Consider the following 18,282-nt stretch of genomic DNA (forward strand, 5'->3'; position numbering starts at 1 on the left):
ATAATTAATAAAGAAATGAGAGAAAATGTCAGCCCCAGACAGTTTAACTAATGGATTCTACCGAACTTTCCAAAGAAAAAACAAAAACCAGATCATTTCAATCTTATACAAACTTCTATAGAAGATAAAAAGCATCAAGAGTTAAGAGGTAAATAAAGGAGAATATAGCACATGTGAAGAACTGGAAGAAGTATGACAACTTTAATGTTTATTGATAAGGAAGTAGATTAAATGAAACTACATTCTTTTTTTTTTTTTTTTTTTTTGAAACGGAGTCTCGCTCTGTCGCCCAGGCTGGAGTGCAGTGGCACAATCTCGGCTCACTGCAACCTCTGCCTTCCGGGTTCACACCATTCTCTTGCCTCAGCCTCCTGAGTAGCTGGGACTACTGGCACCTGCCACCACGCTTGGCTAATTTTTTGTATTTTTATTAGAGATGTGGTTTCACCGTGTTAGCCAGGATGGTCTCAATCTCCTGACCTCATGATCCACCTGGCTCGGCCTCCCAAAGTGCTGGGATTACAGGTGTGAGCCACTGCGCCTGGCCACTACATTCATTTTTATAGTGGAAGATCATATAGAACTATATGGTAATAAAAAAGCTCAAAAAAAGAAAAAAATGAAAATCCAAGTTATAGGAGATATACATGATATGATATGATATATTATTTAGAAACACACAAAATACTACTCTATTGTTTATAGTCATATATATGTAATAAAAATGTAAAAACTCCAGATGTTAAGACTATTTCAACCGGAGAGGAATGATTACCTCCAGGGAGAGAGGGAAGGTATAGGGCCTGGGTTGGAGCACACAAAATCTGAAGCAAATATGACTAAATGTTGGATGTATAGTGGGTACAGAGATGAATGCTATACAAAGATACAGAATTAGGTCTGTATATGTAGGATGAGGGCCCTGGAAGGGCACAGCCCAACTGTTGACAGTGACTGATTACATAGCTGGGGTGGTATTTAGACAGCATAAATGTGGACATTATCCTTTATATTATGTATTTCTTAGTCTTTTACTATGAAAATATATTGTGGATTTATTGCATATAATGAACATAATGCAGATTATAATAACATATATTAGCTGGTGGGGAAGGAGGCAGAAAGGCATGAGATGAGGCTGGATAGGTGGGCAAGGCTGGACAGGGAAGCAGAGTCAGGGATTTGGCCATAGGGTGATGGGGTTCCACTGAAGCATGGAGTGACATGATGAGATTTGCCTTTTAGAAAGATATCCCTGGCAAGGGAGGGGAAAAGAGAGTCAGGGGTTCAGAGTGAAAGCAGAGATAAGCTGGAGGCTACTGCAGACATCCAGACCCTGTGTGGCCTGTCTCAGGGACACTTTCAAGATTCTGAAGGCAAGGGAGTCATAGGTGTCCACTGAAACTCTTCTCAACCATTCTCCACCCTCTGTCAGCCTTTTTTTTTTTAATTATTATTATTATTATTATTATTTTTTATTGAGACAGAGTTTCACTCTTGCTGCCCAGGCTGGAGTGCAATAGCGCAATCTCTGCTCACTGCAACCTCCACCTCCTGGGTTCAAGTGATTCTCCTACCTCAGCCTCCTGACTAGCTAGGATTACAGGCATGCGCCACCATGCCCGGCTAATTTTGTATTTTTAGTAGAGACAGGATTTCTCCATGTTGGTCAGGTTGGTCTCGAACTCCCGACCTCAAGTGATCTGCCTGCCTCGGCCTCCGAAAGTGCTGGGATTACAGGCATGAGCCACCGCGCCCAGCCTTTTTTTTTTTAAATACAGCATTATTCAATTGAAATATCATGTGAACCACATATGTAATTTAAGTTTTCTATTAGTCATATATATATAGTATATACATACTTATATATAATAATATTATATTATATATTATACAAATTATATATTATATATTATATATTATATATTATATATTGTACATATCATATATTATATAATATTATATTATATATTATATATTATACATATTATATATTATATAATATATTATATATTATACATATTATATATTATATAATATATTATATATTATACATATTATATATTATATAATATATTATATAATATATTAAATATATTACATAATATATAATATAATATATTATATGTATAATATATTACATATTATGTACATTATATAATATATAATATATATTATACATAATATATTTAATTATATATTATATATGTTACATAATATATATTATATAATATATATTATATAATATATAAAATAGCTATTATATATAATACTTATTATATTATATATAACATAATAAACATTATATTATATATAACATATATACTGGTACTATAATTATATATATTATATATACAATTATATATAATATATTATATTATATGATTATATATTACATATTATATAATATATATTATATAATATAATATATATTAATTATATTATTATATAATATATAATGACATATATAATATATAATATAAATATATAATATATAAATAATATATTATATATAATATATTATATATAATATAAAATATATTATATATTATATATATAAAATATATTTTATATTATAGTTTATATATAAAATATATAATATATATTTTTAAATATAAAACATATATATTTAATATATATAAAATATATATAATATATATAATATATATAATATATTATATATTTATTATACATAAAATATATATTGTATATAATATATATAAAACATATATTTTTATATATAATATATATAAAAATATATATTATATAATATATATAAAAATATATATTATATATAATATATAAAAATATATATTATATATAATATATATATAAATATATATATTAATATATAATATTTAAATATATAATATATAAAATATATATAATATATATAATATATAATATATATAAAATATATTTTATATATATATAATATATAATATATATATTTTTTGAGACATGGTCTTACTCCGTTGCCCAGGCTGGAAATGTAGTGGCGTGATGATGGCTCACTGCAGCCTTGAACTCCCCAGCTCAAGTGATACTCCCGCCTCAGCCTCCTAAGACTACAGGCACACACCAGCACAACTAGCTTTTTTTTTTTTCTGTAGAGACGGGGTCTCCCTATGTTGCCCAGGATGGTCTTGAACTCTTGGGCTCAAGCAATCCTCCTGCCTCAGCCTCCCAAAGTGCTAAGATTACAGGTGTGAGCCACCATACCCAGCCTATTAGTCACATTTTAAAAGTAAAAAGGAATAGATAAGTTTAGTTTTAATAGTATAGTTTATTTAACCCAGTATATCCAGATATTATTGAACACATAATCAACAGGAAAAAAGTGTTAGAGATACTTTATTTTTTTTCATACCAAGCCTTCAAAATCCAATGTGTATTTTACACTTATGACACATCTTCATTGGCACCAGCCATGTTTTAAGTGCTCAGTTGTCACATGTGGCATGTGGCCATCATATTGAACAGCACAGTTATAGAAAAATAAGGCATTCCGTTTCCAATAACCTCTGACTGTGAAAATCCACTGCTCCATGTCTTAGCAGTTGGTGACAACCAAAATACATAAATTGAGAACCCCTGCTAAAAACGACGCATTCTCCAAAAGGATGTTAGTGTCCATCTGAATTCAGAAACGCTAAAAGGACAAAATATTTTACAAAGGCTTTAGAGAGGTAGTACTACATCTGTAAATACCAAATCATCTTTAGGTCACAAATGTATAAAGATCTACTTGAACAAAGCAACAAATGAAATTCTTCCCCTAAATAGGTAATATCCCAAACAAATACATGTGCATAGTTTGCAAATAATATAGGACTACCCTATTCAAAACAATTCCAGAATTAACTAGAGACGAGATCGAAATGATTTTTTAAATCCATGAAATTATATTTGTAGTTCCTCTTCTGTAAAACGCTTGTTCAGTTCATTTGCTCATTTATATAAAGAAGTGTTCTTTTTTTCTTATTGATTGATCAATAAGAATTTTTCATATATTCAGGACATAGCATGTAGCAATGTGTCTGGCACATGGCTGGTATTATAATAACCCTATTGAAAAGGTACATATAAGGGCCGGGCGCGGTGGCTCACGCCTGTAATCCCAGCACTTTGGGAGGTCGAAGTGGGCAGACCACAAGGTCAGAAGATCAAGACCATCCTGGCCAACATGGTGAAATCCCATATCTACTAAAAATACAAAAATTAGCTGAGCATGGTGGCTCATGCCTATAATTCCAGCTACTTGGGAGGCTGAGGCAGGAGAATTGCTTGAACCAGGGACCGAGATCGCACCACTGCACTCCAGCCTCGGTGACAGAGTGAGACTCCGTATCAAAAAAAAAAAAGAAAGAAAAAGAAAAGAAAAGGTACATATGAAACGTTCATCAACTAATGGATAAACAAAATGTGATATATCCATACAACAGAATATTATTCAACCATTAAAAAAAGAATGAAGTACTGATACATGCCACACCATGGAAGAATCTTGAAAACATGCAAAGTGAAAGAAGCCAGACACAAGGGATACATATTATATGATTCCATTTATGTGAAATGTCCAGAATAGACAAATCCATAGAGTCAGAAAGTAGATTAGCTCCAGAAGCTGGGGGAAGAGGAGGAATGAGGAGTGACTGCTTAATGAGTACACAGATTCCTTTTGGGGTGATGAAAAGGTTCTGGAATTCGATAGTGGTGATGGGTGCACAACCTTGTGAATGTACTTAATGCCATTGAATTATTATACATTTTTAAATAGTTGAAATGGTAAATATGGTAATGGTTTAAATGGTTGCAATGGTAATATTTTATGTGTATTCTACTACAATTTTTGAAAAGTGAGGGTGAAATAAAAATATTTTCGGGCAAAATAAAAGAAACATATTTAATGGAAAAAATCCACACGGAATAATGATGTGAAATAAAATCCTATTAACTACTCCAGAAGAGAAAATTCAGTAAATAAGCTGAGAAAGCAAGCATTTTAATGTGGCCTGGGATTTGATGGAAGCGGCTTAGTGGTGGAGTTTTATCAGTACTTGTGAGAAATCAGTCCTACAAGTCCATTTCTGAGGCATATATTTACTTGAGTCACTCAACGATGATAAGAACTCCCACACCTTCTGGCTTTCTGCATGTCCTCCCACTCCCACTTCCCCCTCCAACCCCTGCACTGTCTCTGTGCTCAGAGATTCAGCAGCAACAGCTGGTCTGTCTTCTGCTCCCACTTAAGAGCCATTTTGCTGTGTTCCCCTTCTGTATTTTAGCTTCCTGCGAAGCTTGTATCTTTAGAACAACTTTTCATGCGTGCAATCTCCCAGAAGGAGAACTGCAATAGTCACTGTCAGTGCTTCCTGAGTGCTGCCATACAGGGGCGGCTTCGCCCAGTAGTTAAGAGCACAGAAGCTGGAGCCGGCTCTGCAACTCACCACCTGTGTAGCGCTGGACAAGTGACTTAATATCTCTGATTCCTAGTTCCTCCATCTGTAAAATGAAGGTACTAACAAGACCCCCCTCTCACAGGGCTGTTGTGAGGAGTAGAGGAGTTAATATACGTAAAGCTCTTAGTGACTGGAGCACAGAAGGGACCCTGTAAGAGAGCCCTCTTCCAGGGAACCAGCTCTGGAAAGCCAGGGACTATCTGGTTTAGACTCGCTGCTGTCACTGCACTCCTTGCAGCTAATAGGAGCTTAATAAATAATGAGAATGAATTCATGGTGCGGCCCTCAGTAAGTCTGTGGTCACCAATACACAGGGTAGGCTTCCATACACGATGAAAGAACATGAATACAACATATGCACTTCAGAGAGAGACAGAGAAGAACATGCATAGTGGAAGCCATCTCATGGGGTCTTCTAAGCGCCCGGCAGGGACCCCGAAGCAAGCCTGACATGGGGCTGTGGATCTGTATTCACCCCAGTCATCTCCTTTTCCCCAGGCGTCTCTCAGGCCGTGCTGGATCCTTTATAAATAAGCACTTTTGGAACAAAAAGGCCCTCAAATGCCAACCAACTTCTCAGTCTGGTCTGGAGCTGTCCAAATGAACAGCATTGAAGAGGATACCGGCCATGAGGGATTTAATGAGAGATGGACAGTCAGGCCCCAACATGACCCTTTCCCAGGGCTTTTAAGAGCACTTTGGGTTAAGGCCGGGCGCGGTGGCTCACGCCTGAAATTCCAGCACTTTGGGAGGCCGAGGTGGGTGGATCATGAGGTCAGGAGATCGAGACCATCCTGACTAACACAGTAAAACCTCATCTCTACTAAAAATACAAAAAAAAAATTAGTGGGCATGGTGGCGGGCAACTGTAGTCCCAGCTACTCGGGAGGCTGAGGCAGGAGAATGGCGTGAACCCAGGAGGTGGAGCTTGCAGTGAGCTGAGATGGTGCCACTGAACTCCAGCCTGGGCAACAGAGCGAGACTCCATCTCAAAAAATAAAAAAAAATTTTAAAAAGCACTTTGGGTTATACATGATTTTCACCTTACTAACCCCACCTGGTGTGGTTCCCTTGTCTCCTCATCCAGGAGAGAGTATCTGCCCCACAGCACATTCATATCCCAGACACTCCTGAGAGACCTTATCTCATCATAACAAACGCACCAGGACTCCTATCTATTTCCTTATTTCAAGTCCATGGATGGGCCTTGGGTTGCTCATTCACATTTCTGTGTGTTGGTCAGCTACGATAAACACTTCTAGAACCAATTCAGGCCACCACAGGGAGAGAACGGTAACCCAAGGTGGTCAGAAGCATGGGCTCTGCAGTCTCCAAGACCTGGGTTCAAGCCCAAGTCCATCAAATTACTTTGGACAACTTATACAACTTTCCCAGTCTTCAGCTTCCAACTTGAAAATGGATATGATAAGACTTAGACCTCCTAGGGTTGCTTTGAGAAGTAAATAAATAATTCCTATAAAGCACTGCGCCAACTACCTGGTTCACACCAAGTACATAATAAATGTTGGCTTTAAACATTTGCTGAGTGTCTACCATGTGCTAGGCATTATTTTAGGCATAGGGATACAGCAGAGGAAAAAATATAGTTCCTCTTCTCTCAGAGCTTACATTAGAAGGTGATAAATTCTATGGAGAAGGACAAAGCAGGGTAGGGGATCGGGGGTGGTGGGAGTAGCTGATATTTAGTATGGAGTGCCCAGGGCAGGCTTCTCCCTGCAAGAGCCGGAAGCCTGTCTTAGGTGGACAGGATAGCTCATGCAAAGTTCCTGGGGCACGGCTGAGGGGCAGCAAAACCAATATGGCTGGAGTGGGGTAAGCAGTGAGCAAGAGCGGAGAGTCACAGAAGGAGCTGAAACCAGATGGCAAGGGTCTCACAGATTACTGCAAGGTCTCTGGATTTTAGTCCAAGGGAGAGGGGAGGCCACTGGAGGATTCCGAGCAGAAAACAAACCTGACCTAAGTTTTAAAAGGATTGCTGTCAATGTTGTATGGAGACAGAAGCTCCAGGTGGCGAGACGGGGGCAGGGAGGAGGTGAGGAAGTTCCTACAGCAGCCCAGATGAGGGATGGCAGGGACTTGGAACAAGATGGTGGCAGTGGGGGTGGTGAGGAGTAGTGGAATGGTGAACAGTTTTTTTGTTTTTTTTTTTTTGAGATGGAGTCTCGCTCTGTCGCCCAGGCTGGAGTGCAGTGGTGCGATTTTGGCTCACTATAAGCTCCGCCTCCCGGGTTCACACCATTCTCCTGCCTCAGCCTCCCGAGTAGCTGGGACTACAGGCACCCGCCACCACGCCCGGCTAATTTTTTTGTATTTTTAGTAGAGACGGGGTTTCACCGTGTTAGCCAGGCTGGTCTCGATCTCCTGACCTCGTGATCCGCGCGCCTCGGCCTCCCAAAGTGCTGGGATTACAGGCGTGAGCCACCGCGCCTGGCATGATGAACATATTTGAAGGCAGGAATAACACTATCTACTGTGGATTAAGTACAGAAGGTGAAATAAGAGCAGTAAAGGATGCTGCTCTAAAGAAATTTAGCCTGAACAATGGGAAGATAGCAAAGGGCTATGGGAAGAGCAGATTTGGGGACAAAAATCAAGAGCAGACATATAACATTGAAATAGTATGGACCTCCAAATAGAGATGTGGAATTAGCTGCTAAATATAAGGAGACTATTTTCAGAAATCATCAGCTTGCAGACATGAGAAGAGCCCCATGAGGGTAGGAGGAAAACCAAGAGAGGGACAACGCGGAGGCCAAGTGAAGACAGTGCTTCAAAGAGGGAGACTCTACTATTTCACCAAGCAGGAGGATGGAGAGGTGCCCACCAAATTTGGCAAAGCAGAGACCCCTGGTGACTTGACAAGAAAACATTAGTGAAATGGAGAAAGAGAGCTTAGAGATACTTGTCCAAAGATACCTAAGAAGCATTATTCATATAAAATACAAATTGACAGAGAGCTTAGGTATTGGTCAGTCCACCGAAGTCATTAAAATATGAGCTCCAACCAGACTAGGCAAGATAGCGAAAGCCTGTCTCTACAAAAAATAAAAAAATTAGACAGTTGTGGTGGTGCATACCTGTAGTTCCAGCTACTTGGGAGGCTGAGGTGGGAGAATTGCTTGTGCCCAGGAGGTGGAGGTTGCAGTGAGCTATGATCGCACCACTGCACTCCAGCCTGGGCGACAGATCAAGACTCTGTCTCCAATATATGTATATATTGAGCTCCCTGAGAACAGCCACTTCATTATCTTTTTAACATTTTATCCCCACCCTCTAGACATATGGTAGATGCTCAATAACTATTTGTAAGACTTTTTTGAACTTTCTTGACATCTGCAGCCAAATGGTACAGGCCAATGGGAAATTTCCATCCCTAACAGTATGGTGTGGGAGACAATGAGGAATATAATATACTAGTTATATAAATATCGAATTTTTCATGCTCTTCCCTTAACTAAAGAAACTAAAATTAATACTACTTGGTATTTCTTCAGCATACACACACAAAAAAAGTGTTTCCCAGTTACTACCTCATTTGGCATTCTCATCTGCATCATCAGCGGATAGATGGCAGCACCAAGCTTTCAAACACCTAAGCTCACTGTCAGCTGGTCTAATTAGCAAAAATTACAGAACATTTTTGAAGGGATGTTTTGTAAGAGGTCTTCTGGAAATCTAATTTAAGAAAATCAGTTTTCCATATTCAAAGTGCTGACCCGCAAATGTTTCTGAAGTGTCCAGAAGTTGCTTTTAAAAGCAAAGGGATCGTTCTCCCTCTCCCCTCCCCCTGCCCCCCACATCCATCTGAATCATCGCACGTTTTCAATGGCAAAGGCTTCATTACATCCTAAGGAAATCCACATCCTGCACCTCCAGGTCACAGCCTGGCAGAGAGCAGCCTCACGTCCCTCCGGAAAGGATAATTAGTTTTCTACCCTTTAATCAAGGAGCAGCAGATTGTTATTTTTCTAAAGTTTTGCCTGGGGAGAGCCTGTTCTTTCCCGAGAGTGTATTTTTCTAACCAGGACTCCTTGTTTGTGCTCTGCCTTCCCACGCACCGACACTGAGGGCCCCTCCTCCTTGTTTGAAATAAGACCAAAGCTCTCCACTGATGAGACGGATGTGGGATCAGGTCATGGGCTCCCTAACTCATCAGCACCACTGCCCATTATCATATGGACTGGGGGTACCCTCAATCTCTCTGTCATAGAGAACGTTGTCAAGGGTTCACTGTTTAAAAAGAACCAGTTCTGGCTGAGTGCGGTGGCTCACACCTGTAATCCCATCACTCTGGGAGGCCGAGGCAGGCGGATCATTTGAGGTCAGGAGTATGAGACTAGCTTGGCCAACATGGTGAAATTCCGTCTCTACTAAAAATTCAAAAATTAGCCGAGCGTGGTGGTGCTCACCTGTAGTCCCAGCTACTCGGGAGGCTGAGGCAGGGGAATCGCTTGAACCCAGGAGGTGGAGGTTGCAGTGAGCCAAGATTGCACCACAGCACTCCAGCCTGGGCAACAGAGCAAGACTCTGTCTCAAAAAATAATAATAATAATAAATAAAAAATAAAGAACCAGTGCTTACAGAGGGCTCACTGTGTCATAGCCAGACACTGTTCTGAATGCTAAATAAATACTAACTCATTTTGTCCTCAAAAAACTTTTATGAGTAGATATATTTGTTACTCCCACTTTACAGGTGAAAAAACTGAGGCTCAGACAGGTTAAGTGACTTGCCCAAAATCACACAGCTAGTAGGCATCAGAGTGGGATTCAAACCCAGGCAATCTGGCTCTAGAGTTGATGAACAGAGAAACAGATGTTAAAACCATTGCAGAAGCAGCCACAACAGAGGAAAGGAGATGGAAACTCAAACACTTACTATGTACCAGGCGCAGAGCCAATACTGAGTTGGTTCTCTTTACATGAAGTATAACAGGACTTAAAAAAAAATAATAAAAACAATAAAGATCAGAGATTAGTCTTATTCACTGGTTTTTCTACATCTGCAAATAAAAATATCCATGGAGATTAATGGTAAACTTTTCTGTGTGCATATTATACTTTTAATAGAAGGGTAATTTCAATTTAAAACATTTAATGGCTCAGTTTTCTTAACATTTTAAAGAGATTTCGATCAAATAATCAACGCTTAGAAGGTGTTTTTTGTTGTTGTTGTTGAGACAGAGTCTTGCTCTGTTGCCCAGGCTGGAGTGCAGTGGCGCAATCTTGGCTCACTGCAACCTCCACCTCCTGCGTTCAAGCAATTCTTCTGTCTCAGCCTCCCGAGTACCTGGGATTACAGGCGACCACCACCACACCTGGCTAATTTTTGTATTTTTTAGTAGAGACGGGGTTTCGTCATGTTGGCCAAGCTGGTCTTGGACTCCTGACCTCAAGTGATCTGCCGGCCTCGGCCTCCCAGAGTGCTGGGATTACAGGTGTGAGCCACTGCATCCGGTCAATTCATGTTTTTCAAATCCTAGAAAACTCTTTACTCAAAAATTATATCTCTAGATACCATACTTTACTAGTTTCTATCAAACAGGTACTCCGTAAGGGCTTCTTGCCCTGGGAGGAGCAGAAGAAAGTCTTTATATTTTATTCAATACTATATTGATCAGAAACTAATAAATCCATATGTAGGTGGCCCAACCCCTCCAAAATGAACATTGCAATCTTAAAAGTGGGTCCTCAGATATGGGCATTTATAATAAATGTTCTGTTGATCCTAACAGTTTAAAATGCCAAAAATTCTTAAATTAGCCAGCATTGCTTAAAGCAGTTTATTGACTCCAATACAGGACCCACCACAGTCTCCAAGGTAATTAGATGCTCCATAAATGCTGTTTTTGGCAGTGACTGGGGCCACACATAAAAACATGTTTATTCCCAAACTGTCAGTGAAATGTGGGAGTGGAACTGCGTCAGGCTTGTTAGAGCTCATGTGGTAGAAAGGAAGGTAATGTCAAGGCCACTGATTTCAGCACTGCACCAAACAGCAAGCCACCATGCTGAATCCTGGCAGACCTCAATGACGGCTAAAAAAAGGGAGTGGCGGGTATGAGGTAATTCTGAGTAAAAGAGGGTAATATTAGTACTATTTTCATACTACTACTACTATTCGTACTGTGCTTTTTATGAGGATTAACTCATTTAATCCTCACAGGGGCCCTGTGGAATAAGGGCTGTAACAGATGAGGAAGCTGTGGCACTGAGAGCTTAGATTTAGAAATGCCTCACAGCTACTAAAGGGTAAGGCCAGACAGTCCAATTCCAGGATCCTGCCCCAGAGCTCCACCAAGTTGCATCAAGATTTTTCTGGCTGCCTAATCCACAAGAGCCACAAACTGGGGCGAGAAAAATGACTGTAATTATCAGCTACGTGCTACTTACCAAATATTTCTATCAAACATGGTCCATCTAAAGCACAGGGCAGAGCAAGCCCCATTCTCTTGGGCCCCTCACTAACTCTCAGCTCACCAGATGGGCTCCTGGGAACAGGGCCAGCACTTGCATCAGCATTGCCATGCTGCCGCCATGGCAACCACACTTTATGACCCAGGCAAAGATGCTCTTCCCACTCACTCGGGAGCCCTGATTCTGGGATGCAGCCCTTGGAGAGACATGTCCTTTTACCTGCCCCCAACTTGCTCAAAGTCTTTATAATAATGGGAACCGATGGGAGGTTCCCCAGGTCCCTGGACACATCTGGACCAGGCCAATAAATACACAGGCTGACAGGGAGATGGGGCTCATGGAGAGATGGTGCAGAGAAATGGAGATTTGCAAAGTGAACAGCTAACATCTCCAGGGGACTTGGTGCCTGGCAGGGCTGGAATTGAGTTCCAGCTGGCTATCTTGTGGCCCTAAGCAAATGGGTTCGGCCTCTAGGAATCCATGTCTTAGACTATGAAAAATAGGAATAATATTAGGTTTTACACCTCACAGAGCTGTTGTGAGGTTTAAGTAAACTCAAGCACACAAAGTACATAGAGAGTAGAAACTGGCTGTGACTATCACTAAGGCAATGGTGCTGGGACTGTCAAAAGAGCAGAAGCCCCTCAGCCTCCCGTCACTGCCCTTCCAGCTCAACAGCCTGACAGTAGAGACAAAAAGCAATCCTGTCAACAGACCAGACAAGGCCAACAGATCCATATACACCCTGCTGAGCACAGGGAGACATGCCAGCATTCAGTGGGGACCCCAGGTGCGGTCACCCCCGCCCCGTACTAGGCTACATGGCTTCTCTGAAAAGATAAATTTATCAAAATAAGCCTACTACCTTTATTTGACAAAGATGTCACTGGACAAAACACCTTTTAACACATGAAAACCATGAATGAACCTTCAGAAGTCTTTAAAGTCAAATGGATAGCACTCAAAAATTTCTAGAAGATTCTGGAATTATCATTCCCATACTGTCAGCAGTGGTGATTTCTCAAGGTTAGGATTGATCCGGGGAACTTGCATGTGCCATGTCACACGTTCCTACACTGTCTAAAATTTTATGACATGTACATTTTTGTAATAAGAAAATTTTAGTTTATTTGAAAAAGAAAACTGAAATGCTTTGCCATAACATAGCTCACAAAATAAAAAACCCAATCAATCAATAAACAAACAAAAAGTACTCACCCTCCCTACTAACTAGCCAAATGGAAATTTAAATAAGTTAGCATGTTTATATTTCAAATTAGCAACTTCTATATGGGCATATCAAATGCAAGAAAGAATGTGGAGAAAACAGGCACTGTGCTTCACAACTATAAATGTATATATTGACGTGAAATTTCCACAGGGTAATTTGACATCATTTTCCAAGAGCATTAAAATGACCCAAAAGTTCATCCTAACGATAATTAATTGGACAAAATAACCACAAACATGGGCCTAGCAATAAGGGTACAGCTCCTAACATTGCCAGAGAGGGAGAAGCTAGACAGAGCTCACACAGCCAACAATAGGAACCAGTTATTAAGAAAGCCCCTTGAGGCTGGGTACAGTGGCTCACACCTATAATCCCAGCACTTTGGTAGACTAAGGCTGGAGGATCACCTCTGGCCAGGAGTTCAAGACCAGACTGGACAAGAAAGTGAGCCCTCACCTCTACAAAAAATAAAAAAATTAGCCGGCCATAGTGGCATGCACCTGTAGTCCCAACTACTTGGAAGACTGAGGTGGGAGGATGGCTTGAGCCCAGAGCCCAGGCTGCAGTGAACTATGATTGCACCATTGTACTCCAGCCTGGGCAACACAGTGAGACCTTACCTCTAAAAGAAAGAAAGCTCCTTGAAAATTTCTACATATCCAATAAGGTAGCAGCAAAAAGACTTACTTATTCCACATTGTGAAAATATGGAATTATCTGGATTTGGCACCTTTAATTGCATGCTTTCATTCCACACTCATCCCATTTTGCAACTGAGTAAACTGAGACCCAGATATATTCAACTGTTTGCCCTGCAGTGGTTGGGACAGGTTCACAGTGTTATTTGCCATTGCATCCGTGGTAGGGCCAAGCTCGTTCCTGCTGCCACAGGAGGCCCAAGCCAGGGGCAGAGGCATCTCTTCAAAATCCTCTTCCCCCAAGATGCCACACCTTCCCAAGGGCTCTCAGCCCTGTCCAGCTGCCACAGGCAGCCAGAGACAAGGCACAGGCCCAGGAATAAAGCCGGGGTCTGTGAGCAAGGCCCTCACTAGGAATAAAGTAGGCCCCCTCCAAAGAAGGTCTGGTCCACATCACGACTGCAGGTGGTGCTTATCCTAGATCGCCTCTCAGCCCATGGCAACGCTGGGGCTCAGAGAGGTCAGCTTCCCTGTCTTAAATCAGCCAGCCAACGAGGATGTGAATTCCTTTTCTTAGCCCTTTGTGGGTGACTCAGTTTCCTCATCTAGAAAATGGGGAAAATAATTGTACCAACTTACAAGGGTTTGGTTGTTATGAGAGTTAAAGGACTCAATCCTTAGAAGGTGCTTAGAACATTTCCTGACCTATAGGAAGCATCCTGTGCAGCTCTTATTTCTGCAGTGAGACTACTGACGGTGGTGGTTAGAAGCAAGGGCTCTGGAACCAGCTGCGTGGGTTCTGATCACACATCGACCACTCACTTGCCCTGTGACTCCAGGCAGGTTACCTAACTCTTTGTGCCTCAGATTCCTCATTTGTGAATTGAGAATGATGATGATAACTCACGCGCACCTCAACTTACAATGGTAAGTCGAAAATGCACTTAATACCCTTAACCTACCAAACATCACAGCTCAGCTTACCCTACAAATCCAATAAGTAAGGCAGTAGCAAGAAGACTTGCTTATGCCACATTGTGAAAATATAGAATTATCTGGATTTGGCACCTTAATGCATGCTTTTAAAGCCTAGCCCACTTAAACATGCCCAGAACACTCACATTAGCCTACAACTGGGCAAAATTATTAAACACAAAGCCTGTTTTGTAATACAGTGGTGAATATTTCATGTAATTTACTGAAAACTGTACTGAAAGTGAAAAAAAGAAGAATGGCTGTATGGGGACTCAAAGTACAGTTTCTCCTGGATACGTGTCACTCTCACACCATCAGAAAGGCTAAAAACTGTAAGGCGACTCATTGTGGGTCGGGACCATATATAGTACCTACGTAGGTTAGTGGGAATAATCACGTTATCTACCTTAGCTCTTAGAAGAGCTAAGAACAGTACCCATAATGAGTACAATGGTCCTAATATGTAAAGTGCATGTTAGCTGCTATGAATATTATGTCACTCTGTCTCCTATTAGCCCATTAGGAATGGCACCACTACCAACAGTAGTCATTATTCTGGCTGACAAGAACCTGAAGTATGTTCTCCTACGAGTGGGTGCCATTATCGTTCAGATTTACAGATGGGAAACTCAGGTGCAGAGAGCTCAAGTAACTTGACTTGGGTCACACAGCCAAGAAGCAGCAATGCTACCAGGCTTCAAGTCAAGTTCATCGGCCTCCGAGGCTCTTGCCTGACTGCACTACCCACCTCAATATCCACATGGCCTGTGGCTGCCTACTTGTGCAATTGTATGACTGCCAGTACTTCCTGGAGAGGGTGATGCATGGTTTTCTGGCTTTGAGATGACTCACTCCCAAGCCTTCCACCATTCAACACAAATGCTGGCCCCTGCAGACGTCTGACTAACAGAAAGTCACATCAGCAGAGTCGCCAAGGAGCAATCCCTGTCTTCCCTCCCCATCTTCCTGGGGAAATACATTGGTATGTGTCTGTCAAGATAAGATATAACCATTAAAACAAAATTCTGGACTGAGATATCTGCTTGGTGTCTTGGAAACACATGCCGATGTCCACACAGCTGGTTTTCCCTACAGCTGTTGGTAGTCATGTTTCAACTATGGCCTACTCATAAGTTTGCACTGGAAGATGAGGCCAGGGTAAATCTTTCTTAATGCATCATTCTAGCCTTTAAAGCATGACATCCATGACAGTGAAGCTCACTTTCCATTACCAGACTGAAAAGTTGGCAAAGCTTTGCTGCACACTATAAAGGCAGAGGTGTAGGTAGGTGCCACCAGCAAGGAGCAGCATAGCTTGAGCAGAGGTGGGTCTCATGTCCTTCACGGCTTCCTCAGCAATTCACCAACAGAGCTAGTTGTTGAATAAAAACAAAACAAAAAAAAACTTCTACCCAGGATCCATAACCCTGTATTATTTCAAACCTGGTAATTTAATTCAGTCATATCTGTTTTCAGATAATGTATCTAAAACTCAAACAGATCACAAGCTGGAAGGATCCTCAGAGAACCAGCTGACCACCCTCATTTAGGGACTGGAGCACTAAGACCTGGCCAAGCTCACATGGTCTGTTGGTCACAGGCTGGGACCCTTGAAGGTCTCCCTGTTTTCAGGCTGTTTTTTCAGCCCTTCCTGCTTCCTTAATCCAAGTGTTGTCAGAGTGGACATCTGCTGTTCCTCACTGCCCAGCATTTAGTCCCCATTCTTCTGCTAACAGCACCCAGATTTTCTGTTGGGGGATGCCCTCTCCCCTTTGGGACACTGTGATTCAGGAAGGGCCAACCCCAGGCTCCAGAGATGGGCATGTAACCTGGCCTGTTCAGTGGGAGTGGCCCCAAGACTTTGGCTGGCATTAAAGAACAGATATACAGTCCTTCTGGGACAGGCACTGAGCTGATGAGATGCAAACTTGGAGCTGTGCAGGGCATCTTGTGCAGAAAGCTTACCTGAGAAAGAAGCTAACCTGGGGAAAGCAGAGCAAGAGACCAAGAGAGAGAAGGCTCCTAATGACACAGATTAACCACCTGGATCGAGCTATGCCTGAAGGTAGCCTATCACTAGACTTGCCAGTGATAAAAAGTGAGCTCTCTTTAAAAAAAAAAAAAAAGTAAGCAAGCGTACATTCTATTTCTGTCACATGCAACCAAAAGAACTATGCTTTGTTTCTTTGCAAAAGTTCATTAAAGAAAGCATCAAAATGGGAATGTTCCCAGGGGACCATCCAGAGTGCCTAGCACACAGTAAGCACTTAATTCATGTGTAATGGAGCGAAACCCCTCCTTCAGGGCTCTTCTCAGTGGGACTCTCTCAGACCATCCTGTTGGAAACTGTGGCCCTCTCCAGCCTTCCTATCCACCCCTCTTGCCTGTTTTCAATGGTGTTTAGCACCATCAGACCTACCCTATGTCTTACTTACTGTTTCTTGAATCCCATAAGGGTGGAGATTGTTGTCTACTTTGTTCGCTGCTATAACCCTAAGGCCCAGATCAGGTCTCTGAACCATAAGTACCCAGTATACATCCGGTGAATGAATGAATGAATGAGGAAATGGATGATGGAATGAGTGAGTGCCTAGTGTGCTCCCAGGTCCCCACCTGTCTGCTGCCTTGGTCAGCAGCCCTGGGACCTGGCCTGCAGAACCCCTGGCTGTCCTTCCTCCTCTTTCTGGATATGGGTCCTCTTCCCACCGAGCAAACACTCCAGCAGCCAGCCCCGCAGTCCAGGCAACCTGACCGTCACCCACCTGCCCAGGGACCATCAACAAAAATTAAAGGGTAGGGAGCCCTTTGGGTTATAAAGATGTCTTCCTTCTTCTTTCCTGCTTACAAATAAATATCATATGCTCATTACAAAGGCAAACAAACAAAATTAAAATGTAAACAAGTAAGCAATAAAAAAAATAATAATTTAACTTCTAAGTTAAATTTGAGGTACAAGTCAGAAATGGGAAGACTGCTGGTATATTTTATATGACCCCTAGGGTGTATGTATGTATATATGTATTTATTTTTGAGGTAGCATCCAACATTTAAAAATCTAGATTTCATTTAGAAATCAGGTACAGTCTCTAGCTTCAGTTCAATATTTTAAAAAATCTCATCACTAAGGGCCCCTATTTCCACAAGTGACCATGGTCTGCTAGGGTTGAGTGGTAGCTGCCCCCTTCAGATGGACCATGGGCTCTTGGGGTCTCCATCCCTCCCCACTGTGACCCCTGCCCTTCCCTGGCCACTCATGTAAGGTCCTGCCTGGTCTCTGTCACACTCAGAGTTGGTGATCCCTGGCCTGGTGTATATCCTTTCAGACTCTGCTGCAGACATAAAGCTTTCTAAGAAATCCCTCTAAAAAATCCCCTCGCCTCCAATAGTACCTGTGATGCTACAAATAACTATGCAATTTCTAACACCAGAGAACAATGCATTTACAACACAGCCCCCTTCTGCAGGGTCAGCATGCTGGGTCAGGTTCATGTCTCCTTTTAAAACTGACTATCAGCCGGAAGCAGTGGCTGACGCCTGTA

At 41.5% G+C, this 18,282-nt stretch overlaps 1 protein-coding gene across 14 annotated transcripts in view; it reads right to left on the bottom strand.

Moving 5' to 3' along the window:
- ARHGEF3 (Rho guanine nucleotide exchange factor 3) overlaps positions 1 to 18,282 on the bottom strand; it is a 351,849-nt gene that overhangs the window by 237,981 nt on the left and 95,586 nt on the right. Inside the window, exons 1-2 of one of the 14 annotated variants that reach the window (XM_047448225.1) lie at positions 11,876 to 11,975; positions 10,362 to 10,420 (exon numbers count right to left, since the gene is read on the bottom strand). The exons of 12 other annotated variants lie outside the window; for them this stretch is intronic. Coding sequence is in view for 1 of the 2 variants with exons in the window: in XM_011533764.2 (XP_011532066.1) it covers positions 11,876 to 11,895 (20 nt within the window). In the remaining variant the exon portion in view is untranslated. Of the gene's footprint in view, positions 1 to 10,361; positions 10,421 to 11,875; positions 11,976 to 18,282 lie in introns of those variants that run through there. One more of the 14 variants, XM_011533764.2, reaches the window with a different exon arrangement.

Source organism: Homo sapiens, chromosome 3 (assembly GCF_000001405.40).
Source record: "Homo sapiens chromosome 3, GRCh38.p14 Primary Assembly".
NCBI classification, from domain to species: domain Eukaryota; kingdom Metazoa; phylum Chordata; class Mammalia; order Primates; family Hominidae; genus Homo; species Homo sapiens.